Source organism: Homo sapiens, chromosome 18 (genome assembly GCF_000001405.40).
Source record: "Homo sapiens chromosome 18, GRCh38.p14 Primary Assembly".
NCBI classification, from domain to species: domain Eukaryota; kingdom Metazoa; phylum Chordata; class Mammalia; order Primates; family Hominidae; genus Homo; species Homo sapiens.
This window is the reverse complement of record NC_000018.10, coordinates 36,369,081-36,396,401: the sequence shown is the minus strand read 5'-3', so window position 1 is coordinate 36,396,401 and position 27,321 is coordinate 36,369,081. Positions and strand designations below refer to the sequence as shown.

General features: G+C 44.4%; 1 protein-coding gene across 41 annotated transcripts in view; it reads right to left on the bottom strand.

The window, feature by feature from the left end:
• The window catches only part of FHOD3 (formin homology 2 domain containing 3), a 482,508-nt gene that overhangs the window by 383,819 nt on the left and 71,368 nt on the right, over positions 1-27,321 (bottom strand). For 40 of the 41 annotated variants that reach the window (XM_011526189.2, XM_011526190.3, XM_017026008.2 and 37 more), the window contains exon 3: positions 23,658-23,722. The exons of the other annotated variant lie outside the window; for it this stretch is intronic. In XM_011526189.2, the coding sequence (XP_011524491.1) occupies positions 23,658-23,722 (65 nt within the window). The remainder of the gene's footprint in view (positions 1-23,657; positions 23,723-27,321) is intronic. 41 annotated transcript variants of the gene reach the window in all.

Below are 27,321 nucleotides of genomic sequence, written 5' to 3'. Positions count from 1 at the left end.
AGAATCACTGCAGGTAGGCAAAGAAGGTCTAACACACACCTAACAGGGGTCCCTGAAACAAGGTGAACCAAAGCAAAGGAATAGAATATTGAAAACTATAAGAAAACTTTCCTAAAATTTTATATATAATTTGAAACCACATAAAAGATCCCCCATGTATTTGAGGATACTGACTCAGAAAGACCTATACCAAGACACAGTCTAATTACTGGACTTTACAGAAAAAAATAAATCTTTTAGGCAAAAATAACAAGGGACATAAAAGCTTATTATCATCAGACTTTTCAAAAGCAATACTTTATATACGAAAAAATGCAGTAACAAGGACATAAAATGTTGGCCAAGGATATTATACATGGCAAAAATCTTATAAAGCATACCAATAAACTGTTAACGTGCAAAATTTCAGAGACCTTTCTAAAGAATCTACTAGAAGGAGGGTCCTCAAATTTTTTCTGACTCCTTACCCTCTTCAATTTATTTAGGATCCCAAAGAGCTGTGTTTATGTGGGTAATATCTACAGACAAATTACCTCTTAGAAGTTGAAACAGAAATTTTTAATTCTTTATGAATTAATCAAAAATAGCAAACCCAGTATGTGCTAATGTACATACAACATATTTTAGAAAAAATAACTATTTTCTCAAACAAAAAAATTCATAAGAGTAACACTGCTTTTATTTTTGTAAATCCTTTTAATATTTCTCTTAGTAACAGCCAGACTCACATATCTGTTATACACTTAATTTGTTGTGATATCACAAGTCACAGAGGTTCTGGAAAACTCCATGCACTCATGTGAGAATGAAAGAGGGGAATAAATAAAAGGAAAATACCATCTTAGAATTATTATGAAAAAAAAGAATTATTATGAAAACATTTTTTTACATCAAAGACTCCCCAACTCGAGAATGAGTTTCAGACACACAAAATGACTAGAAAGATATCAACATAAAGATTGATGGTGAACTTTAAACATGAAGAAACCTGCAGAACTAAGAGAAAATGACAGCTAAAGTGAAGTGAGTATAGTTTACAATGGCTATGCATTCTGACAATGCAGATATAGATTTTTTTTTTTTTTGAGACGGAGTCTCACTCTATCACCCAGACTGGAGTGCAGTGGCATGATCTTGGCTCACTGCAAGCTCCGCCTCCCAGGTTCATGCCATTCTCCTGCCTCAGCCTCCCTAGATACAGATATTTTTAAATGAGAAGAGCAAACACACAAAAAAAGAAAAAAAAAAACCTAAACTGTTCTCAGTAGTTATATTGATGGTGGTAGTACTGTTATTCTGATATTTCTCTGAGTGTGATATAAATTTAAGTGGGTAAATATGGGATATTCTAATTCTATCCACTCTTGTGTTCTTGATAACCTGGACATGTAGGGGTAGAGAAACAAGATGAGGGTGTAATATAGAAGAGACTATGTAAAAACCTTGTAGCACAGAACTTGAATTTGAAGTATTAGTATGCTCTCATGAGCTACTTTATCCTAGGTAAATAAATATACATGTATACAACACGTATCTCCCAGCTTCTCCCATTGAGGAGGCTCAGAAACTATGACAATCCAGTAGCAGTGAACATCTGCAGCACTCAAATTGCAGTTTTGAAATGTTTTCTATTAACGACAACAACAACAACAAACTGGGCTTCCTAGAGACATAGTTGATTACAGGCCTGGGGCAAGTGATGCATAAGATGAACTGAAACATCTTGCTCTACCACTAAGAGAGGAAGCTAAAGAGAACACCCGTGATGATTCAGAAGCCTCCTTGGGTTCCAGTGGCCAAAAATGGGACAACTCAAACTTCAAGTACATTAAGTGCAACTGATTGAAACCCATCAAATACACTTAGATCTGTAAGTTCACAGTAAAAATCCTAGGTTTTCAAAACATGCATGGTGGGTGGTCCCCATCTAGTGCTGCGGGGTGGGGATGGTTGTTGGCCAGCTATACCGCTCTTTCCTCTTGGCTCCTTCCCATCCAATTAATTCTATATGCCATTTCCAGAATATTCTCCCCTGCTCAAAATCTCATGTCAATGATTCCTTATTTTCTATTTTGTAAAGTAAAAATCTCAATGTCTGCTTGTGAAGACTGTCTACACGATGACCTTAATAATGACTTTCATCTGGGAAGCCCAATATTTAAATTGATATTATCTTGTTTGACCATAACAATGAATCCATAAGACAGATAGCATGCTCCCCAGGAGACGGCTCAGAAAATCCAGGTCTCCCTCACTCAGCCTGATATTTCTCACTCCCCTACTCCCATACCAGTGTTCTTTCCTTCCTTGATCTGCCCAAGTAGGTTGGATTTGCTTTGTTAGCAAATTCACTCTGATTCTGCTCACGCTCATCTGTGTGTCTTTTCTCCCATGGTTCCCTCAGCCCCTTCTTGTTATTTAAATAAACCCTTCTAAGTTTTAATCAAGCCACTCACTTTCCAAGTCCCTTCCTAAGACTAATATATCTGTAGTCCCCGGGCTTGTGGATCCAAGTGGATTAACTAGCTCCCTGCCCTCACATAGGAAACCATCAGAACCCAGAGTTTTCTGAAGTTTGGGACCCTAATATCAACCCTGCAGTAGGATCAGTATAATTTAAGAGGAAGCCTTCTGGCCCCAATCACAACACCCATTTCCTTAAGCTGCTTAGAGAATTAGGCTCATTTCACTCCCCTTTGTATTCTCCAGGTCTAGTTGGGCACACAACTGGGACTCCAGGAGAATGGTTTCCTGGGGAAATGAATGACTGATTGCCTTTGTGTAGCCCAATACCCTGAATTGGTGGGGATTACGGACAGCTTCTTAGTCCCTCTGTGACTGTCTTGGGGCCAGCTCTAGAGCAGCAGTTCTCAACTGCAACCACTTTTGCCCTCAAAGGGACATTCGGCAATGTCTAGGAGTATCTTTTGCTGTCACAATTAGGGGCATTGCAACTGGCATCTAGTGGGTAAAAGCCAGGGATGCCACCAAGAATCCTACAATTCACAGGACAACCCCACCAAAAAAGAAGTGTTGGCCCCAAATGTCAATTGTGTCAAGGTGGAGAAACCTTGGAGAGAACAATACAAGGAAAGAGAAAGTGTCCAGAAGATCTGGACCCCTAAATGCAGTGATGGAAATATCACAGCATGCCACACCAGATTCAGATCCATCATAAATGCTTTCGCCATTACGTTTGTTTAACTCTAAAATTAAGCAGGCAGCCTTCTGCCCTGCAGCCGTCCCAGAAGCATGTGGCCAGCATGGCAGACACTCTGGAATGACCACATCACAAACTAACTGGAGCTGGCTGCAGCATTTCTGCCTACTAATTTTAATCTTTCTTTCTCAAAGGTCATGAATATTTTCAGACCTCTAAGCACAGGCATATTGTGGGCAGACTTAATATATGTTGCTTCCAGTTGGCAAAGGACTTCACTCACCAAAACCCTAAGCTGAGTTACAGGCTTCACTTTGGCCATGTCACTTTCCAAGAGACTTTCTCAGTCCATTATCCTAATTGGCAAATGATATGTAAGTACCAGAAGGCTGTGTGTCAGCAGTTATATTTATAATGAAAGCCTAATCTCCAAAAGAAAACACTAATTCATTAAAACCTCCTTTCCCATCTGCCATGACAGTAGCCAAAGGAAAAAGAATCTATGAGGTACAAATTAGCTGCCTGCGCATGAAACACAGACAAGATCAGACGAAGCGGAAGCAGGAGATATACCCTGCTTGGCCCCAGGAAAGTCCTGTCCTCACTCTACACAGTCTTGCCATGTCTCTAGGTCTCTAAGTGACAGCAGCTTGAGGATCAGAGCCTGGGAGGGCAGGAAGTAGACTTTCCTCTGTCCCCTACTCAGGGAGGGCTTTCTTAGCAGACACAGTTCAGCTTTGGCCACTACTCAGGGAGGGCTTTCTTAGCAGACACTGTTCAGCTTTGGCCACTATAAGTTATCAGCACTTCAGGGAAACTTGAGAGGGTTTTGGGAAGAAAAGGAAGATGACTCCACAGTCTGATATTTCAGCTCGGCTCTCACTATAATCCCACACTCTGCTGGCCTTATTATTCATATAGATATATTAAGACCCATCATGTGTTATGCATTGTGCTAGGGAAGCCAATTATAGCTACCCCATGCACAGTGCTTACTCTGTGCTGGGTGGGGGTTCTGGGCACCTGGCATGAATTCACTCATTTAACCCCCCAAAACCCTATGACTGTCTCATTTTACAGGTAAGAAAATGGAGCTGGTGAGAAATCGCCTGCTCAAGGTCATGCAGCCTCTAAGTGGTGGTGCCAGGGTATGAACCAGGAGGGCCAGCTCCAAAGTCCACCCCGCTACACCAGGGTCCAGTGCCACTGGGCAGGACAGCCAGAGCTTACGTGTGCGGTGAGCACAGCATGCCACAGGGCCTATGACAAGTGCTTTACATGCCCCATCTCAGCTGTGGGGGACAAAGAAGACCACAAGCCATTTTCCCTGTGGCATGGGGAGACATTTGAGCAGAGCCTAAGAATTGAGTAGGAGTCAGCAGACACAGGGGAGGCACCAACACAGTCAGGGGGCCACATGGTTTGTCTGGAAAGCCACCAGCAGAACGAAAGCTGGAGGGGCAGGAGGTGTCTCATCATCTCATCCAGGCCTCCAACCCACCCTGTAAGGTGTGCACACGATGACCAACCATGCCCTTTACAAGAGTCACCTGAGGCCTAGGAAGATTACAAGAGTCACCTGAGACAAGGGTCCTACTTAAGGTCACACAGCTGCTGAGTGGTAAACCCAGGGCTCAGCCAGGCATGTCTGGTTACAAACCCCAGGCTTCCAGGACATTGCTAAGATCCAGTATGTGCCTCACTCACTGCAGTTGTAGGCCTTGAATTTCCTGAGCTCTAATTCCCTGAACTTACCACTGGCTATGGTATATCCCCTGTAGGACCCTCCTATCATCGAGAAAAAATTCCCATGAACAAGGCTACCCCAGCCAGGCCAAGGGATCCCTGTCTGGACTCCAGGCACCTGCAAGCACCCCTGAAGAAACAGGGATCCTGGCATCTGTCCAGGAACAGACCAATCCTAAGAAAAATGGCCTCTCCCTGTTCCATGAGCCACCCCCTTTAAAAGTGGGTACACTTTGCCCCCCAGACACTAGGTGCCCCTATGGTCCCTCCATGGAATGTCTCTGACCCTTCAGCAAACTGCAGGTCTGCACCTGGTGACAGTGAAGTGTGCCCTTCACACAGTGTTGGCAGCATTAGATGAAACCTGGCCTTATGCTTATGAAGAGATGCTCCAGCAAAAGCAGCAGAATTCTGACTGGTGCCTACAGTTGGAGTGCTGGGCTTTCTGCCCCTTCAATCCTAATTACCCATCGGAGACAACGATCACTTTCTGGTGAATATTCATGGACTATCTTTCTGGGGCAAGAGGAAAGAAAACTAAGGCAGTGCATACCTGTCCATACAGGTAAATACTTGATCTTTCCAGGTTGGATTCATTTACGGATTACAGGTGATTGATCCATGTGGACCACTCGTTATTTCTCCCCACCCCCAAGAGTCTGACGGTTTAATAACTTCCTACTTCCCCTTCAAGGGAGTGGAGAATCACTCCAGGCGTAACAGGACCATCATCATGTGTTAAGTGTGGGTCTGTTACATCAGTCACTCAGGTAGGAAGTTTTCTTAAAGCAAGTTTGCTTCAAATATACACATCTCAAAACCATCACTTGTTCATGCCTTGACACACCAAGTCACAGAGGTCAGAGTGTGAGGTCTTAAATTGCCTCACGTTTGTTACATTATTCAAAAAAAGTGTTTTCTGAAAAAAATCCAGGTACAGAATGTGCTTGCAGAAAATCAAAACCAGCAGAGCTCAGCACAAGGACAGGGTGCATGCCAGAGCAGGACCCAGCACCAGAACAGGCTCTGTCTCCTCCAGAACAGCAGGCACCAACGAGGCATCTGGCTGCACACCCCAAACAGAGTCACATTTTATTTTAGACTCACTCCTATCTTTAACCTGGAATACTATGGCCTTAAAAAGAACAAAGCTCAGGGCACCTCCAGTTTTAATTTAGCTCAGCACAGCCATGCTCCTCCAAGCCAGAATCACTCACTGCATAGGGAAGAAAAGCAGGAGCAGCTGCCTGTCACCTGCCCAGTGGACACGTCCCCCTATCACCTCTGGACCCAGCTCATCTGTCTAGGCTGCTTGACAATTCAGCTCCATACCTACAGAGCAGGACTGGGGCTAAAATACCCAAAGCCTCAATGCCGGAGCCCAGTCTAGGGAGGATCTCTCTGTGGGGCTTCCTGGGTCCACAGATAACACTGATTTTTGCCTCCTGGATTAGAAGCAGATGGGAAAACAGGCACAGCAGATGGATAAAGCCTTACCACTGAGACAGCTCATGACAGAACCGGCCTTGCATCTGCAGCCTGAAGGGCTCCAGGCAGTTCTAAGAATGGCCACTGGCCTACCACAGGGGCAGGTGACCTTGAGGGTCCTCAGAATAGGACACTCATTGAAAAAGGAAGGGCTGAGCCTGCCCTACTCATTGCCTTCTCCCAGATTCACCCGTCTGTCCTCAGAAAGGAGTCTAGGGGAGTGCATAGAAGACACATGTCCTCCTGGGGATCTGAGGGGAATTCCCTGCTCTCTCTGGAATAGGAAGAGCAGGGTGTTGGGCTCCCTTGAGATGCACCCACCTCAAAGGAAAATGAAAATCCATATTACGTCATTTTAGGGTCTATACATAGAGAGAGCACATATTTAAAAAACAACAACAATAACAACAATGCTCCAGGAAAGGACAATAATTATGTACGTCCACTGAGAAATGGAAGTGAGGAGTATGCGGGACTGGCACTGAGTCCAGCCCAAAAGCCCAGTCACAGCTGCGTGATTGTGGAAAAGAATGGATTCTAGGACTATGATTATTTATGACCATTAATACTGAAAATCACAGGTGACACTGTTTGCAGAAGAACCCTGTGCATTCTCCACAAGTCAACTGACAAAGGCCCAGCAATGGGAATCCCAGGATAAAAGGCACCACAATGGCGGGGTGGGAGGAATATGAAGGTGAGTTCTTCAGTGTTGGGGTCTGGGAGTGTTGACCTAAGGGAGAAGAAAGGAAAAAAGGAAATGTACTTGCAGGCTGCCTGCCCTACTCTGACTTCCTCTTCTTCTTCCTCTTCTTCTTCTTCTTTTTTTTTGAAGCATCAATGCATCTTTATTCGCAAATAAAAGCTGCAGCAAGATGTCATCTACACATTTGTACAAAGATTCAGATGTCCTATATCATCACGATCCTCAGAAAACACGAACCCGTCGTGCAGGAACGTTGCAAACACTGGCAGGCTGACCGCTCATCTGCATTTGGCAAGAAGCGCCTATCAGGGCCCCCCCATCCTGCTCACGGTGCCCCCCAGAGGGAGCTGGCTTCCCAAAGCTGGAGAGAGCCCAGCCCCCAGGGCACCTTCCCTAGAAAACCATAAATACATAGATCATTTGTCTTCAAATTCCCATGGCAAATACCACATTTATAGGCAAAATGATACAAAAATATGAACTTAACAGAAACTTTAGAAAACCCTTATTCTCCCATCTTCATTGTTGGTGGTGGTGGTCTGTTTTGTTTTTTGCTTGTGGTTTTGGTATAAACTCCTTCTGTGGAAGAGGCAACGTGTGCCTGGGCTCTGCCCTCAGGACAGAGCAGGGTTCTCTTGGGAGGGGAAGGGACTCGGCCATCCCTGCCCAGGAGACCCTGGGGATGGATCTGCATTGGGAATGCCACACAGATCCTCCACAACCCAGGCTCTGCCGAGAGGAAACCATTATAAAAGAAAAGTAATCCTGAATCCTAAAAGACCCCTGGGGCATGCAGGTAAGTCCTGCTACACAAAACTGCTTGGCTGCAAAGAAGGCAAGATGGACATGAACACAACTGGCGCTAGCTATGGCCCAGACAGTCACAGTGGGACTGGGCTGGCCCTCTGACTCCTAGGCCTTCTCATGGGACTGGGTTACAGTCCCAGGAACACATTTTACCCATTTTCTGTCTATGTCTGAAAAAGAGCAGACCTGGGGAGACCAGTGGGGGCTCCCGGTGTTTCGCTTTTCCTGTTTAGCTTGGGCCCTGTGTCTGGTTCAATTTAAGAATCAGGACAATGTCAGAAAGATATGATATGCTATAGAATCAGAAGCAGAGGAATGAGGAGTATAATTAGTAATTTATGAGCAAATACCTTGGAGAAAAACCACACCAAAAAGGCAAAAAGGCAAAGATTAAAGTAACACACTTTCAAAGACACACAAAAGTGCTTCTTAAGTTTATATAGAGAGTTCTCCAATTTTTAAATAAACTATGTCCCCAAAGTTCAGTTAGGGAAACTAAGGCTCAGGACAGTTCCATGATTAGCTCCTAGAAACCCCAAATTCCTTCCTTAAGGCCCCTTTACCCTCCAACCTCTCCACAAGAGAGGAACAGCCTCTACCCCTTCCTGTAATGGTCACACAGTCTCACTGGCAAGCAGGAGTAGACACATCACACCACTGGCAAAGCAAGGGGCAATGACAGCACACGGTAGCACTAGAAGCCCAGGGGACATCCAGAGGGGTGGGCCAAGCCCTGCCAATGCGGGGTGGAGGAGCAGCAGGGAGATGGATGTGGGATGAAGTTCAGGTATCTAGCACACATTTCAACAACAGGTCTAGAACTCAGGGAAAGTGGGAAACTTCAAGTATGCAGCTGCTAGTTAGAATCACGAAAGTGGATGGAACTGCTTCATATATGTACTGCATTCACTTATGTGTCTATTTCCTTTACAGCACTTAACATAATAGTTACACCCACAGACACTGAATAAAGATTGATGTGTTATTTTGAGTCAGGAGGAAATCTGGGAACGTCTCACATTACAGTAACATAAATGATAGTGATGCTTTCAAGCTTACCCACAAGAAATTGCTGGATTTTGACAGTAATAACAACAAAGCTCACATTAATGAAAACCTGCAGGGCTACCAGATGCCAGGTTCTTGACCTAAGACACCCTCATGGCTCATCAGTCCTTTCCGCAGCTCACAAGGGAAGTGTGAGAGTCCCCCATTTTTGACAAAAGTGTCATGTCCCAAATCTAGCAACCTGATGATGCTAGCTCCAGAATTAGAATGCTGCTTCTCCCTAACCCACCATCTCCCCTCAAGCAGGACACCCCTGAGGGGGAACCAACACCTTCTGCCCACAGTCTGGGCCCCTGACTGAGCAAAACCTCACCCAGGACACAGTCCAGGGCACTTGCCTTTTTTGGGGTGGGGAGGGTATTTTTGGCTCCTAAGCCATTTGTTTAAGAAAGAAAAATAGATATTCCAAAGGAAGGCTGCCTTAAGAACTTCTATATTTTGAATATTTAATCTTAGATTCTAGGTACACAACATCATTTGGAGGTGACATCAGAAGTTCTACCCACAAGGCCCAGGTCAGTCGTCTCTTGCCTGGCCCATGAATGGGGTGCTGCACTCAGAACCCCACCTTCTCCAATCCCCCCAAGCTAGACCCCACAGCCTGGAGGCCCTATGAGTCCTGATGAAGGCCAGGCCTCAAGTAAGACCCCAGAAAGGACTGAACCTCAAACCCTGGGGACAGCCGAGGGGAGGCAGGGCCACACCTAGAACTTGCAGCCCAGCTGCCCTCTGAGTATCTCCACCACAGCAGTGCTGCCCTCCAGGAGCCTGGCATGGGCTGTTCCAGGCAATTTGTGCACCATCTCAATGCACACACCCTCACTGATCCCACTCTTCAAGATTCCACTGTCTTCCAAGACAAGCCACAGCACACACAGGTGACTCACACTGGCCTGGGCAATTCCAAGCCAAGACAGCTCCATGGGGCTCCTTTCAGTGTCTCTAACGGGCACGGAAATTGCTCGTTGTTTTTACGGCTTTCTGCTAAGTGATACGTGGCACTTTATTTCTTCCCAGCAGCCTCTGAGGCCCCTGAGCCGCTACCTGGTAAAGAGGAGTGCCCGGTCAGCCCACCCCTGGCCACCCACATCACCCTTGCCAACCCCAGCACCCATGCCCATGTACCCAGGATGCCCTGAGCCACCCATCAATGCAGGGAGATGAGGCAGAGGACGGACAGCTTCTAAGGTACCCCAGGCCAAACAAGTCATAAAAAGCTGTCCAGATACTGGGTCATCTGAGAAATGTATTGCCATATGTATAGTGAAAGTTTGCCATCACTAGCATGTTTCTTGTTGGAAAGACAAACATACAGATTGTATTTTTGGTGCAATTTGAATAGCTTATTAATTTGGACATTTTGTGAATATCAACTCATACAGAATATTTGGACTACTTTTTATAATGCTTAGAGCATAACGTTTCAACTTTAAAGTTATTATAGATATAACTAAGCACTTGGTGTCATGTTGTGGTGTTTTAATTCCTTTTCATGCGTTTGACTGCCTGGTCATGTGCACTCAGGAGCTTCCTCCTCCATGCCAACAGCCCCTTCCATCAGGAGAACACAATCCAGGAACACACCAAGATGGTGGGAAGTTGCCTTCATGGTCACAAAACCTACTTCATTTCCATGAAGATGAGAGCTTTTCAGTAAACATGCTGACTGTTCAGTGCTTGCCAAAACTGCAACATTCTAAAATGTATCAAAAACACGATAACTGGAGGCCAGGCCCAGTGGCTCACGCCTGTAATCCCAGCACTTTGGGAGGCAAGGCAGGCGGATCACCTGAGGCCAGGAGTTTGAGACCAGTCTAGCCTGGTCAATATGGTGAAACCCTGTCTCTACGAAAAATATGAAAATTAGCCAGGCATGGTGGTGGGCGCCTATAATCCCAGCCACTCACAAGGCTGAGTCAGGAGAATCACTTGAACCTGGGAGGTGGAGGTTACAGTGAACCGAGATCTCACCACCACACTTCAGCCTGGGCAACAGAGCAAGACTCTGTCTCAAGAAAAAACAAAACAAAACAGGATAATTGAAGAGAACCATAAAAACAACACCAATGCCAGCAGCTAAGCAGGAATTGTGGGATCAGGATCACCCTCAGGTCTTAGGTTGGCCAACTCCATTTTGTAAGAACAAGTAAAATTTTAATAGAAATTTATTGACCTAGTTTCAAATCTGTCGGCTGCTTAAAAAAGGATAGTAGCTAAAACACATTTTAAACACATTAATTGGGCGTTACTTGGTTTTCATATTTAAGAGTTCCACAATGTATTTCCCCAGTTTAATAGTTAATACAATTCTGTGATCCAGTTCTGGTTATGGAAGATGGGCTCCTTCAAGAATTGGAGGCAAGATATACATTTCAGTCCAGATCAGCTCTGACTCTACAAATAGATCAGACACTCTAAAGTCACATTCCTTTAGAGGAACTGGACAATCAAATTTTGATGGTGTTCTAATGGTTTGTAAGGCAACAAAACACAAAACTTTGTGGTGGTGGTGGTGGTGGTGGTGGTGGTATCTTCCACCACTTGCCAAGGGCTTAGCCTGGACCTGCACACTCACTATCTCCTTGACCATTTGCATCATCACCAGGAGGGAGGCACTAGGTCCCCCGTTCTCACTGTTATAAATAACAAACAGGTCTCCAAGGGGTGAGTAACTTTCTCGTGGACACACAGAGGCAGGTCTAGGATTTGAACCCAGTTTGTCTGATTCTAAAACACATATTGGCTTATTCTGCCCATTGTTTGAGCACACAAATCAATACTCAATATATGACTTTATTTTTAAAAATTGGATCTAACACCAATGAAATATTTCTTTAATCCTTTTTTTTTTTTTTTGAGATGCAGTTTTGCTCTTGTTGCCTAGGCTGGAGTGCAATGGCATGATATCAACTCACTGCAACCTCTGCCTCCTGGTTCAAGTGATTCTCTTTCTTTGGCCTCCCAAGTAGCTGGGATTATAGGCATCTACCACCATGCTCCACTAATTTTGTGTGAGGTGTTTTTTGTGTTTGTTTTTTTGTTTTTTTGAGACAGAGTCTCACTCTGTCGCCCAGGCTGGAGTTTAGTAGTGCGATCTCAGCTCACTGGAATCTCCGCCTCCTGGGTTCACACCATTCTCCTGCCTCAGCCTCCCAAGTAGCTAGGACTACAGGCGCCCACCACCACGCCCGGCTAATTTTTTCTATTTTTAGTAGAGATGGGTTTTCACCATGTTAGCCAGGATGGTCTTGATCTCCTGACCTCCCAAAGTGCTGGGGTTACAGGTGTGAGCCACCACACTCGGCCTAATCCTCACAATTTTTAAAGGCGATATTATCATCCCCTTTTGATAAATGAGGACACTGAAGTCAGAGCAGTGAGGTCACTTTTCCAAGGTCACACTGCTTCTCAGGGGCAGGTCTGATTCTAGAGCCTGAGTTCTCTCATCAGCCCAGACCTGTGCTATAGCATCAAGGGTTCAGATACCTGGAGCACAGTAAGTGCTCCAGAGCAGCTAGTGTTATTGGAGGTACCAGAGCACAGAGGTTGAACACAACACCCTGCAGTCAGGCAAACAGATATGGGTGCAAATCTCAACTCAGTCATATGCTCCTCATGGGACCTTGGCCAAGTGATTAGACCACTGCGTGCCTCAGTTTTCTCCTCTATTAAGTGGGAACAGTAATTCTGATTCATAGGTTACTGTTTGGATTAAAGGAGATACACTTGTCGAGTGCTTTGCCCAGTGCCTGGTAGGAAGTATAAGCATTAAGTGGTTAGTAGAAATTTCCCTTTCTGCTTTTATAAAAAGAAACTATTTTTAAAAGTACATTGCCCATCATAATAAAACAGAACTTTTCCATTTAACAATTAGACAGATGGGGACGTTAATCTGAGCTCTGCTGTTTAGCTCTGTGTCCCTGGGCAAGCTCCCAACCCTATTTGAATCTAGTTTTCTCCTCCTGTAAAGTAAGGATAATGTATGTGTCAGGACGATAAATGGAATCACCTCTGTTAAGCACCTTTCTCATAGCAGGTGCTCAATAACAGTAGCCAGTGGGGCCTGAACATAACTCAGCCGCAGCACAGCACCCTGAGAACTCCTCCAGCCTCAGATGTCCACATTATGAGAGCACTGTGATTCAGGACAGCACCAACTCTGCTTTCAGACAGAATCCTCAGACCAAAATTCCCTCGCCCCTTCCATCCATCCATTCCTAGGTGACATCCCAGGCCACACAAGTCACCTACCCAGGAGGAAGCCTGCCCAAGAACAGAACACAGCAGGGCTGGAAGGGCTGGCCAACGCTATCCCAGAACAGTGTGGAAACAGCCGCCTGCACAGGTCACCCACCCTGTTAATAATCAGACAGGGCACTCCCCGTGGAAGTGTGGCAGACCAAGTCTCCCTGACAATCACACACACAGACAGACCTGCATGACAGTCACACAGACAGGGCAGCATAGCACTCCAGTTACACAGACAGATTTCCACAGCACTGCCTTGACATTGAGCAAACAGTCAAACCTAGGGAAATCGGTGCCCAAACATCAAAGCTAGAAATGAAACATATGGTCAGTAGGAGCCTTGTATAGGCTTCTCCCTAACCTGGAGCAAGTCAAAATATAGAGACAGTCTTACATTCCTAGACAGGACCCGTCTCGGGTTGACAGAATCTGAGACAAGTCAAGGTAACAGAGGCAGCTGTTTGAATAGATTCATTGGAAAGTCTGAGACAGCTCTCCAGACCAAGCTGTAAAGGAGATAAGATAGAAACAATCACTCCAGTTCCACAGTAGACAGGCCTTGAGGGTACTGGAGCCCTTTTAATCAGACTTAGCAAGCATTTTTTGCCTCTGACCTTCTAGTTGAAACAAAATTAGTTACCAGTAGACTTAGGCAAATGCTATACTGAGCATGAGCACATAACCCCAACCTACACAAAGGACTAAGAAAATTGTAACACTTTGAATTGGTCTGGTGGAATTATCTCCAGCCTTCTCCCTGTATCCGGTTACAGCAATAAATTCCCTTCTTCCCTATTTTGTCTGCTTCTCGTTATTGGGCCTCGAAAAAACGCAGCCAGACCCAGCTTTGTTCCGGGAACAGAAGTGCTCTGGTGGGCAGTGACAGGAAGAGCCACAGCCCATCCCTAATGAAGAACCCACCTCTTCTTCATTCGCTCATCAAAGTCTGCCATCAACTTGTTACATTTGGGGACGACAGCATCCCACCCCATTCCCCAAAAGATGTGAAGCACACACTGCAATGCAAAGGCCACAAAAGCTGTTCCATGGAGCAGTCTTGCATCAGGTCGCTATCTCAAACCACCACCATCTCACCTCCAACCTCCCGGAGACCTGGGCCCCACTGCGATGGCTGGCACCATGGAGCCCTGCCCGGCATGTGCACAGGCCACGAACATGCACAGTGTGATTCCAGGGTCACATAACACCTCCCAGAGCCTTCCTTGACATGCTCCTGAAAATGACAGTCTACTCACTGCCACAGTTTTTTAACTCTCTATTTACTCTCACATTCTTCCCACTCCTTTGAGGTGATACCATGGCGTCATCTGTTAGCACATGGTACTTAGAGCTACTGCCTTGTATTCTTCTTCCTGAGAACAGGGCAAAGGAATCCATTTCTGAAGTAAACAAATCAAATCTAAGAAACACTGTCAGTACCTTGACCCTTTTAGCTTCTTTCTTTAACAACAAATAATTTGGGGTCTCCTTCTGAGGGTGAGACAGTATACTGCATCTGGCACAATAGGATCTACACCTTCACGTGCTCAAGAGCAAGTTGCCATCCTGCACAGAATCCAGACCTCACAGAGCTCAGACCAGGACCAAGGAACCAAACCCAGAACAGGGACTCGCAGCCTCTGCCTGGCACCCTCATCCTCCTCTCGGGCAGCTACTACAGCCAGCAGGGACAGAGTGCAGTTCTGATCAGGTGACAGACCCCATTTCCAGGGACTTCCCAACGTAAAACCAGAACAAGAGACCAGTGTCCAAGTGATCAGAGTGGAAGCATGGAAAGGATGTGGAAGCCCCAGCTCCATCTCCTAGGCATCTGCAGCCTGGCTCAGAAGGAATTTCAGCTGCATTCCCAAACATAGTCAGCTCTTTAAGGGTGAAGTCCATTTTTCTCAGCTGACTTACTTTCCTCTAAGACAATCTGTGAACCACACTGGAACTCAGCCGGAACACCATCCTTTGAAGCCTGCTGAAACTTCACTTAGGCAAATGTTTCTAAAGACATTTATTTAGATGTTTTGGCAGCACTTCCCAGACTTCTCAAACCAGAAGGGCTGCCTCGGTCTCGGCAATTGTATCTGTAGAGAAGGGCTAAAGATGATTTCAATGGCCTAAAAGGAGGAGCATCAGGCCAGTGCAAAGAACCTGGCCAGGGAATCGAAAGACTCCAGCCCTAGTCCCATGGCATCCCAGCCCCGTGGCCATGAGGAAATGCCTTGCCATTGGTGGACCCCCTTTCTAAGCCCCTGCTGTGGCTCAGGAGGGGTGGCAAGGGCTCTTGAACCTGTAGGTGGGAAAGAACCAAGCTGCAAATGTGTCAGTCAGTGAATGGGGCTCATGTGACTTTTTTTAATGGCTGAGGTAGACAGGATTTCTTTTTTAGCTTTCTTGTAGAGTTTATCTCAAACTAATAACCTTTGTAGCATTTTACAACTTTTGAAGTACTCGTAAATACATTATCTAAATTTAAGAGTGTTATTAAACTGACCATTGACTCTGAAAAGAAAGAAAGAGATACAGAGAAAGGAAAGGAAAGGAAAGGAAAGGAAAGGAAAGGAAAGGAAAGGAAAGGAAAGGAAAGGAAAAGAAAAGAAAAGAAAAGAAAAGAAAACAAAAGAAAGAGAGAGAAAGGGAAAAAGGGAGAGAGGAAAGGAGGCAGGGAGGGAAGAGAGGGAAGGGAGGGAGGGGAATGAAGGGAGGAAGGGAGTGAGGGAGGGAGGGAGGGAGGAAGGGAGATGACCGAAGTATTGACCAGTAACGTGGCTCTATCCCTTGCCCCAATGATCTCTCTACATCCTAGCAAGATAGTGCCTCTTCCTGCCCACATGCCCATAATCCAGTTACTGGGATTACAGATAAGTCATGTTACTTCTGTGAACAATTAATAGAATCTGTTTCCTTTTTTTCAATTATCCTAAAATAATGAGCAGAACCTTTTAACTTTTCTTCTTATTCTGTTGCTATTACTCCAGTATATGGGCTTGAGATGACAGCACTTGTAACAATTCTCCAATGCCTTTCTTTCCTCCTTTAAAATAAATCTTGAACTGGTAGCAGTTTCGCTGAATTATGAATGCTTTCTATATGTTTTTTTTCTGAGTTAAAATGCTTCCCATTAGGTATTTCTAATACAACAGAAATGTTGAGATGTGAAAAATACATTGACATGCACCCACTCCTCAAAGAACTTTCTTCAGCAAGACATTTTTGAACCATCCATCCTCCTTTTCAACTCCCACACCCTCTGGATACCAAAATTTCTATAAATAAGACAAAGCATTTTGTTTCCTGACATAAATTTTGATTGTCCAGTGCCAAAAATAAAGTTGTCTCTTCATGGGGACAGCCAAAGGCACTCAGAGCTGGTCACTAGAGCTCACATCACACCCCAGAAGCAGGCCAGACTTGTGAAAGGAAAGTATTTATGCAGACACTCTAGTCAAAACCAGGGTGGTTTCCCTATCAGAAGTTGTTTTCTGCATATAACTGATGTTTTGCTGGATAGGAACTTAGGAGTCTAACTGCCAGCACGTGATTTAAACTTATCTGGTAACACATGCTACAGGCATCCCTATCAATGGGACTTCATTCTCCATTATCAGTTTTGTTTGCCAGATTTTCATGTTCCTTGTTAAGTGACCAACCAGGATATAAACAATTACATGGACATTGAAGAGTAAACACACTGATAATGGCTCCAAATTCCATTATCCAACACCTCGAGATCCCTAGAGATGAAAGGTAACCAAGTCCTAAAGAAGCAATAAATAATTTAATTAAAGTAAAATGGGGAAAAGGCCAAATACAAATATGAAATGAAGCTGTCGTAAGAGACCCTGAGATATCTGCTTTCTTTCCTGTGATTCAATTCACATTGTTCCTGTCCATTTTCCCTCTCTTGGTGCTTCATAATTCCCAGAGCTGACCTGAGCTTCCAGCCCTATCCAGAAGGTTCCACGCTACCTCTCTCTCACAAGTGTGTGTCTCCTCTTTATTCATCCTCTGTATTTCTGTTTATCCGCATGTCTGTAGATGGTAAAGCCACTCTTTAAATTCATTCTTTAGTTGCTCTTTCCATTATGGTGAGAAATCAATCCCGAGTTATATATCATATGAATATAACGTGTGGAAAGACGTGTGACAGAACTGAATGGTTCCCAGCATTTAAGGACTAGACTTGGCCAGACACGGTGGCTCATGCCTGTAATCCCAGCACTTTGGGAGACCGAGGTGGGCAGATCGCCTGAGGTCAGGAATTCAAGACCAGCCTGGCCAACATGGTGAAACCCTGTCTTTACTAAAAATACAAAAAAAATAGCTGGGCATGGTGGTGCATGCCTGTAGTTCCAGCTACTCAGGAGGCTGAGGCAGGAGAATCACTTGAACCCGGGAAAGCGGAGGTTGCAGTGAGCTGAGATCACGCCACTGCACTCCAGCATGGGCAACAAGAGCAAAACTTTGTCTCAAAACAAAAACAAACAAACAAAAACTACACTCTCATGTATGTTAATAAACCTTAAAGTATGTTTTACATCCTTCCCATCTCTCTTTTTTTTTTTTTTTTTTTGTGGCAGAGGGGTCCAGGGGGGACAGGGGTTGGACACACCTGTCAATTCCAGTCTGATGGAAGGCCCCTTAGAGGCAGCTACCCACACAGAGTGCAGAGGCTGACAGGCTGACCTGCCTAAGAAATCTCCCTCAGCCGAGACCTAAGGGCCTTCTAGACACATGCACGCCTTGGGATCTGTCTCCTGGGAGCTGTGACAGATTAATGGGAAACAGATGATGTGAGGTTCTTATCTGATTAACCCACAGAGCTCATTCTTACCTAGAAAACAGAACCACAGGCAGAAACAGGTCACAGACTTGGGGTATAAAGGAGAGGAGGTTTTTTATTTTTATTTTTAAAGGACCAAGCACTGGGAGTCTCCTGCTGCAAGGGGAGACTCAGTGTCAAACCCATCTCATGCTGAGGCTGCAGTTGGCCACTCAGGAGCCTTTGCAACAAGATGAACATCTTTGGAAGAATGAGAGATGGTTTCCAGGGCTTCTGGAGAATCAGAGGATCCTGGCATCAAAGAACAGAAAATAGGAAGTGTGATGACTCAATGCACCTGATGCCACCAGGGAGGAGCACAGCAAGGACACTGTGAGCTTAGCCACCATGATGTCCAGGGACAGGGCAAAGAGGGTGTACCACCTGCAGCTCCAAATCTAAGCTGCATGGTAGAGGCAGGACAGGAGCAGAAGCAGCTTCTTGTGGAATGCAGGACAGAGCCAGCCAGAAGCCCAGGTCCAGGGCCTGGAGTCAATGAAAGCAGGGCAGGTGGGCTAAGAGGGGAACAGATGGCCAGGGGATGGGATGGGGGTGTCTCCCAGTCAGGGAGCAGCCAGCTCCCTTTCTGCAGCATACAGTGGACGTGTGGGGAGTCTGCCATGGAGTAGACCACAGAGGGCCAGCTGCATCTGTGTGGATCCTACAGCAAGCACCCAGAGGGGCCAGGTGCCCGAGCACACACGCATCACCATTCAGGCCTCATGTCTCTCAGCACACAGTGCTCCATGGGCCTCATCTTTACTAGCTAGCACAGAAACAGCACTCAGGTGCTGTCAGAACAAGAGTGTCAAAAAGACAATTTGCTGCTTCCCATAGGAAACCTCTAGTTTTTATGGAAATTCCAAACTGACACAGAGCCAAGAAGCAGTAAGGACCACATGGGAATCCAGCTAATTTTCCAAAGGCCACCCTAGGGGCAAGTGAAATGTCAGAAAAGGAAGCTAGAGGGGGGCCTCCCTGCAAGCCAGGAGGGCTCAGCCATGAGAAACCAGCTCAAATTGATTAGAGGGAAAGACACCCAGAGGTGGAGGAAGGTGGTACTCGGTCTGGTCAGAAAACACAGTGAAGTGGGAGAGAAGTCATGCTCAGATTCACAGGCTGAAGAAGAAGGGCAGAACCTGGAAAGGGTCTGGGAAGAAAGGAGAGGGGACAGTGGTTGGGGGTCATGAATTACAGTGCCATTCCCCACCCTTCGAATACAGAAGCCCAGGGACCCCTATACTGTAGCTACAGGAGGCTCAAGCACTGGACAAAACCTGCACCTCACCTGAGCTGCCACCTCATGGCACACATATGTACACCACCTCCATCACCACCAGTGTAAGAGGGTACCGATGCAGGATCCTTTCCCATTAAGACTGCACACAGCCTCAGGACCTTGCTCAACACAGCGCCCCAGGGAGCCAATGCTCCTAAATCGGCTGGCTGTGAGATGAATCCCCTTTGTTACTCTTGCACTAGGAGGTTCTTCTTGAGGAAATGTTGCACTGTTTATAATTCATCTCTTTGCTATAACAATGTAGTGCAAAGCACACGGCTGCATGATAGGGCCTGCAAGAGAAAAATGCCTTGCAAATTATACATTGATGGCTTTTGCTGTTGATGTTTCTGTTGCTGGAAACTGGCATTAATGGAGTGGCCTTCTCTCATATCATTTTCTTGCCTTTAAAAGTTGCCTTTGTCCCTGTGACTTGACCATCTGAGTAATTAGATGCATCTTATGCAGAGATCAGTTGCTTCAGCCCCCTTGACAGCCTCTGCCTGACTCATCTCTGTCCCTCACAAGCAGACCTCATCATCTCATAGGATTCTGAAATGCCTCTAAAGGCCCTTTGTGCCAGGATTCTTTCACAGCTGCAAGCATAAATGATATTTTGGAATCTTCACCCAAATTTTACACTTTTGTTTAACTCAATATTGGACACTTGAAAGGACAGGCCTCCTGGAACCCAGAGAATCAATCGCCAGGGTTTTACTTTCTAAATGGGAAGACAAAATCTGCTTCAGAAAATTGAAGCCCAGGGGTTTTTAGCCCAACAAAATGCCTTCAAAGCCAGCCAGTAAAAAACACTCACATATTAACTTTAGGGTCTTAACGACTTCAAACCTTATTTTTTTAAGTCCTAGATTCCATTCCTTACCCCACAATTCTTTAGTTCCTTTCTCTTCATGATGAGATTTAGTTATCAGAGCCAGTTGGCCCTCTGAACATTTTTCTGGTGTCTGGAAACAGGATCACTTTTCAGGGACCAAAAAATTTATTTTCTCTAGCTAACCTCATAAAATGCAGACTTCTCATGTCTATCATACGTCTTAATTCTTATCTGTAAGTGTATGCCCACGATATGACCATCAAAATTTTCATTTCTTTGAAAAGATCGAAGCTAGATTAAGAAGGCAAGTGCAGCGTTCGCTGCAATATCAAGTGGTCATACCAAAAATGTACAAAGAAATAAAAATTACAGTGGAGATAAAGCACAGAGGTACAAAAGTTTGAGGCCTCTCTCTATACCAAAATCTCATTCCAACCTCCGGCCAAATGCTTCAGAGCCACTACACTACCAGAAAAGACCTGCTTCAGCTGCTAGCTGTAACCATCGAAGCAGAGCCCCTGTGGCCTTCATTTTTCGTGAGGGTTGCTGGGCTGCTAACCATAAAGGCTCACCCACCACACTCTCATCCCAAAGGGTGCTGGATTCCAAAGTTAACACTGGAGAATTCCAAAAGCACCTCACCTCCAACTCATTAACATGCAGTCCTGGATTCTAAACATTCCTCTACTTAATAAAAACAGGAATGAAGGAGAAGAGAATGTAGGGTGAGGAAAGCATTATTTTTGAGACATTTACTTGATAGCATTTTAAGCCCAGGAGACAAACCCTGGTCCTGGATCCTTCCAGTCCAATCGTGGGTGGAAGGAACGTCTTCAGGGGAGTTGCATGTGGTGCGAGGCTGAGACAGCAGCCACTGTGCCCCAAGCCTGTAGCATTAATATTTCAACTATTTCTTCTGTGGTAAAGAGGGAAATAACCTTGAGAAGAAACAAAGACTAAAACAACAGATGTGAAAAAGGTTTATTTTCTCCTTGTCATATTTCCGATTGTCATTTTGACTCAAAATTGTTCCGGGTATTGTTTTCTTTATCCATAAGAAATCTCATCTAACACTGCCATTTGGAAAGGGAAAGAATATGTCACAATAGGGGAAGGTACTTCATCAACATGATTGCACACATTCCATTTTCTATACATAACCAAAGTATAATATTTAGTGCTAATAAACCTATTCCAGATCTTGCTAATAGTAGGAAATGGAATTTTAAAAAAGGCTTTTAATACAAAGGAAAAACTTTTCCTTTTTTAGGTGTTGCTGTTAGTTTATACGGCCAAATCCTCTCATCTGACATAATCAGGCCTAAGGCAATTAATGGTAAAAGCTGATTAAAGCAGAAAATCCTTTTGAAAACAATACATAAAAAAATACATAAACATAAACAAGACCTTACAACATTTTGAACTCGCAGCTATTGTGGCAAAACATGCCGGTCTACCTGTGATGAGGCACAAATAGTTCTCTGAATAAGGATCTACCCATTGGAATTCCATGTAGACTTTCTTTTACAACTCACTCCAATAACAAGGTCTGATTTCCAGTCTAGTTTCTTTGAAGTCCAGCGGAGCTGAAGATGCTTATGAAGAGTAGAATCCTCTTAGATTTTATAATATTCCCCCTCGCCTTTTATAGTTATCATAACACATTTACATTGACAGAAATGCTTCTGTAGTGACTAATTTTGAGTCTTTTCCAAAATAGTGAACTTTCAAAGAAGCAGTGACCTTTATGTAGTCATATTTAATTAGTTTATGAAATATTTGGTACTATTTCATTAAATTACATAATTCTGATAACCAGTGCAATTGGCATAAAGAGGTTTGTGAGCAAGCACACTGACTCCATAAACCCCAGGTCAACCCCAAGAGCAGGGAGCATGTGTGTCCTGGTTGAGTGTGGGCTTCAGAGGCTGTCGGTGCTCAGCATGCCACAGGATAAGATGTCACACATCTTACATCTATCACATGGGACGATAGGATACAGAAGTTCATAAGACAAGTCAATAACACAGAAGTTGTTTTTAAAAAATCCTGTACCTGAAATATTTGACTACATACTGCAAAGGAGTGAGTTTCCTTAAAAGGAGTTAGCTCATTTGGATTTGGATTGAGCTCATTTTCATGCAAGTCTGCTTTCTGCCACCTTACTATTCCTGGGAAAAAACAATTCATATTCATGTCCCAAATTTCTTGTAGTTATCAACTGTGTTTCAACATTTAACTTCAACACTGTTCAGTACATGTTACGTGCCTGGATTTGTTCTAGATCTGGGATGAGGGTAAGGGGGAAGTTTATCCAAAGTCGTGTCACAGACCTTTCCTTTAGAGAGACATGATTTATACATATGAAATCACTGGGAAAACACGAAGCAGGTAATAAAAAAGCCACGATTTAATATAAGTGCCCATATACATTGTACAGTTACTCAGTGCTACAAGCAGTTGAGAAGCAGAATAGTCAATATTGGCTGGAGGTCCTACAGATCTTACTTTGTTTCCAACAAGATTACCAATCCTCCTGACACCCTGACCTTTCAGTCCCTGAAGTTTGAGTCACCTGAACAATTATTCTTTAGCTGCAGAGTGAGGCAAAGGTTGTTACTCAAGACACTTGCAACCTCACCACCCTCCACACCAAATGAAGTGAAATCACATGGATTTCCCTCCATCTCCAGCCCTGGGTCTCCCCATCCCTGGGTCTCCAATAGGGAAGCAGAGTGAAGGAAGGACCAGAAATAATTTCCTTCACTCCACCCATGAATATGTTTTCGGGTATAGACTAGGACTCAACAGGATGATCTACGCTCTTTTGATTAGAGGATTAAATGAAGACCACACCATACATTAAACAAAAGCAAAATTACTCAGATACTAAAAACTTCTAGGCATAAAGTGAAATTTAGTTCCTTTTTTTTCCTTCTTATGACATTATATTCTTGCCGCAACTTGGCCCATTACCAGGAGGAAACTGGGCTTCCCGCAGCAAGCCATTCTGAACCACAAATATGTTTGCTTGCTTAAGAGCATCTTGCCCTGTATCCACACGTACCCTCATCCTGCACTGACCCAAGATTTTCCTTTTAGTCACCTGATAACAACCTGGAGCCCCAGACTCCACTTGCCCACAGGCATGCCTCACAGAGCCACCAGGAGGCACGTGAAGATCAGGTCAATGTGCTAGAGGCTCACAATGGCACAGTCCCCAGAAGAACCTCATCTACCCCAGCACTGCCAAAAGGCACCTCACCAGCAAGCTGTCTTACCTCACGCTCCAGTCACTAACCAAACAGCAGAGGAAGCTGGAATGAAACAGGCCTTCAAAAATCATTGCTGGAAATTGTTTCACTAAAACTCTAAGAACTCATGATAGGGGCTAGTGCAAACAGACAGCATAACAGTGAATCTTTATTTTATTCCCATAAGTCGCGTCTTTCATCATATGTTTAGTTCCTGAGGGCAGGTGTCACTCACCGATGCAGGCATGGACCCTCACAGACAGCTGCGTCCTTAGGATGATGCTGTGCTTCTTGCCCCGCCTAACGAGACAGGAGACAAAACAGGGGCATCAGAGGAGTCAGCAGAGACACCTCACATGCTGTCAATCCACGTGAAGGTTCTGACATACCCACTTAAGTGGGGATCCAGAGAAGCAGAGACCCACACTGAATAAGAATCTATCCTGAAATAATGTTGACATCACAGGACTTTCACAAAAATAAAATAAAGAAGTCTGACTTTGTTGGTTTGGCACATGCATCTCACTGCCAAGCTCCATCGATTCATTCCATCCACAGAGTCTGCACAAAGTCATGCTTGACCATGTTGGGAAAATTTTAAAATCTGTGTCCATGAAGTGAAATTCCTGGAATGTAACAACACAAATCTGCTTCATCATTCTCATGGCTATTTTTACCTTTTTGTGGGGTTGGGGGCAGATATAGGAAAAGGGAACACATCATGGGGTAATCAGAACTGCTTTACTGTGTATCAATTCAAGACTGTGTTGGCTTTTCTCTTGTACTTTTACAGGAAAATGGGAATCTACAAAAGAAGGCTTACAGACTACTTATTATCAGAAACGTCAATTTACACCACACCACATCTCACCTCTGCTTCCTTCTCACTGCATTTCTCATGAGGAAGGAAAAGGGCAGACCTCCCCAGGTTCCACTCCCACTAGGGCCCATTCTGCTTTATGCAGAGAGGAACCAAAGCACGGAGCAGTTGGTAGAAGGAGATAAAGGGGAGAAAACATGAGTCCTGGCTACCCAACAGGAACAAAGGCTTTGAGGTTTGGAGAAAAGGGGAAGGCAGTGGACAAAGGAAAAGCAGAGCCAGCCAACAGCATGGCAGCAGGTAGTGTGGCAGGGCTCTTGGAAGCGGGATTCCCTGTCCATCCTCACCTCTCTCCACCAGGGCTTAATGTATAACAGAATCTGGCAGTGCTTTCCTGCCTCCTGGTGTGTGGTTGTGTTGGAGAGAAGGGAACAGAGATCTCACCAAGGCACGCTACTAATACTGTGATTATGAATTCACAGTAATGACTACATCAATTACATTTTTTATTCATCTGACCAGGTAAGAGACAGAAGTATGGTTTAAACAATGGTTTGTTGATTCTGATATGATTTGGTTGTGTCTCCACCCAAATATCATCTTGAATTGTAGCTCCCATAATCCCCAAAAGTCATGGGAGGTAACTGAATCACAGGGGCATTCTTGTGATAGTGAATAAGTCTCATGAGATCTGATGGTTTGATAAAGGGCAGTTCCCCTGCACACACTCTCTTGCCTGCCACCATGTAAGATGTGCCTTTGCTCTTCCTTCACCTTCCACCATAATTGTGAGGCCTCCCCAGCAATGAGGAACTGTGAGTCCATTAAACTTCTTTTTCTTTATAAATTACCCAGTCTCGAGTATATCTTTATTAGCAGCATGAGAACAGACTAATATGGATTCTTTTAAAGAAAATAGGAAACCCAGCTGCATAATTGCAAAGCATGCAGTAGCCTCCAGCTGAGCAGCTGCTTCAAGTAGAGTCTGCATTCAGAGTCCCCTCAAAATTCAATGAGCCCCTCCATTTTCCTTTGTTCATTTGTTTTACATTTTTTATATGGAAGCCATTAGTCTCAAGAAGCTTGCAGCCAATACACGATGTCTACAGAAGTTCAAGATTCCTGTGAACACAGATTTCCACAAAAACATATTCTCCACAAAAAACTCTCACTCTCAAAAATCCTGACATGAACACTCCTTCAACTCTTCTGACCAGACCAGAAGAAAGTTTTGATTTAAGTGCACCAAATTGAATTATAGACAGCTTTTTGTTTGACTTGCCAAGAAAGGTTTTCTGGGGTAGCGGGGACAGCAGCTAGGAGCAGAAAATCAGTGAACCCCTGCCAGGGGCCAGGCTCTAACTATTAGAAACAGTAAATCCTAGTCTTCCAATCTCAAGGATTTTCTGTAATTCGCATTACCAGCAGTTATAAGTCAATGGTAAATGTCAAATGAATAGCAGACAAAGAACATGCTATAGATGCCCAGAGAGAGAAAAAGCATGAGCTGGCCAGGGAAGACATTTCAGAATGCCCCCAAGTTCTGGAGAATTTCAGAAAGAGTCCATTGGTTGCCCCTTCTTGTATCTTCAAACAACTGCAAAGTTGCACTTTGAGTGTGTGTTTCCCCACATAATTCTCTAGACCCACAGTGAGCATGTAGGGTGGTCACTCTGGGATTCCAGGCCTCTCAATAAAAACAATGACTGCCAAGACCCAGCAAGCCCACCATCCTGGAGGGGTCATCTTTTCCGGATGCCGAGAAACCAGGCAATTGGTTTGTTAAGCTAAACCCTAATGGAAATTAAGAGAGCATAGAAGAAAAAAAAAAGTCCTATTTTTTTTAGAAGTTTAATCACTTACAATTCCTCTGCTTCAATATTCTAGCTCCTACCTTATCTTCTGCTGTACACAAAATCCTATACATGAAGAAACCTGCATGGAACTGGGAAACAAGGATGGTGGAAGCAGGCTGAGGTGGGGAAGAGGCCCCAGATCCCAGGTTCAGAGTAAAGGAGGGGACCAGCTAAGGAAGAGGCAAGTGGGTGAAGAGTGTGGCCAGATTCAGCCAGGTTCACAACAGGGCATCTGTGACCTCTCACCCTTCCCTACCCCTGCTTCCACCCACCTCTGATGTAGGTACTACTTCTGTGTCCATTTTGCAGATGAGGAAAACAAAGCTTGTAGAAATGGTGTAACTTGCATACAGGGCTGGTGGAAACAGAAGCAGGGTTGAAAGCACAGAATCTGATTCCACGGTCACCTGCACCACCCTGCCTTTCACTGCACAATTGCCTCACTGTATAACCACCTCTAGGGCTTACAAAGGATAAAAAGAGTCCCTGGTTTTTTAGGGAACTGGTGTAACCTCAGTACTAAAACCTAACCAAAAAGACACACTGAAAATCTAAGATGCAAAAATCTAAGAAAATATTGAGAAATCAAATTATGCAATATGTAAAAATAATACAAGACCATATAAGACTCATCCCTTAGAGTTCAAGAATTAGAGTCCAATATAATAGTTTTACATGTATATAACATATATATTATATATACACATATACGTAAGTCTTCTTGACTTCTTAGGAAAACCTTATTTGGTCTTATTGTATTTTCACATATTGCTTGCTCTCTCTCTCTCTCTCTCTCTATATATATGTGTGTGTGTGTGTGTGTGTGTGTGTGTGTGTGTGTGTGTGTGTGTGTGTGTGTGTGTTTAAATAAAATAAAACAAAGGACATCCACCATAAGATCCCTTTAAATTTGGTAGCTTCCCTCCACCACTATATTTTCTAATTAGTTAAAACTGACATATTGGAGAAAGTTTCACTTTTATGTATTTCTTTTACATATGGCCATTTCCCTGCTACCACTGATTCTAAAAATCTTTTTGCTAAGTCCTTTGGCTTCTCTTAGGGAATTAATCATATCTGTTTAAAGACAATCATTTTATCCCTGCCTTTCCAGTAAATACACCCTTTTCTTCCTTCATGGCTAAAACTTTCAAAGGAAAATTAAAGAATCACAGGCATACTCCCTTCCCCACTATGGGACACTATGTCAGTTTCGGCTCAGA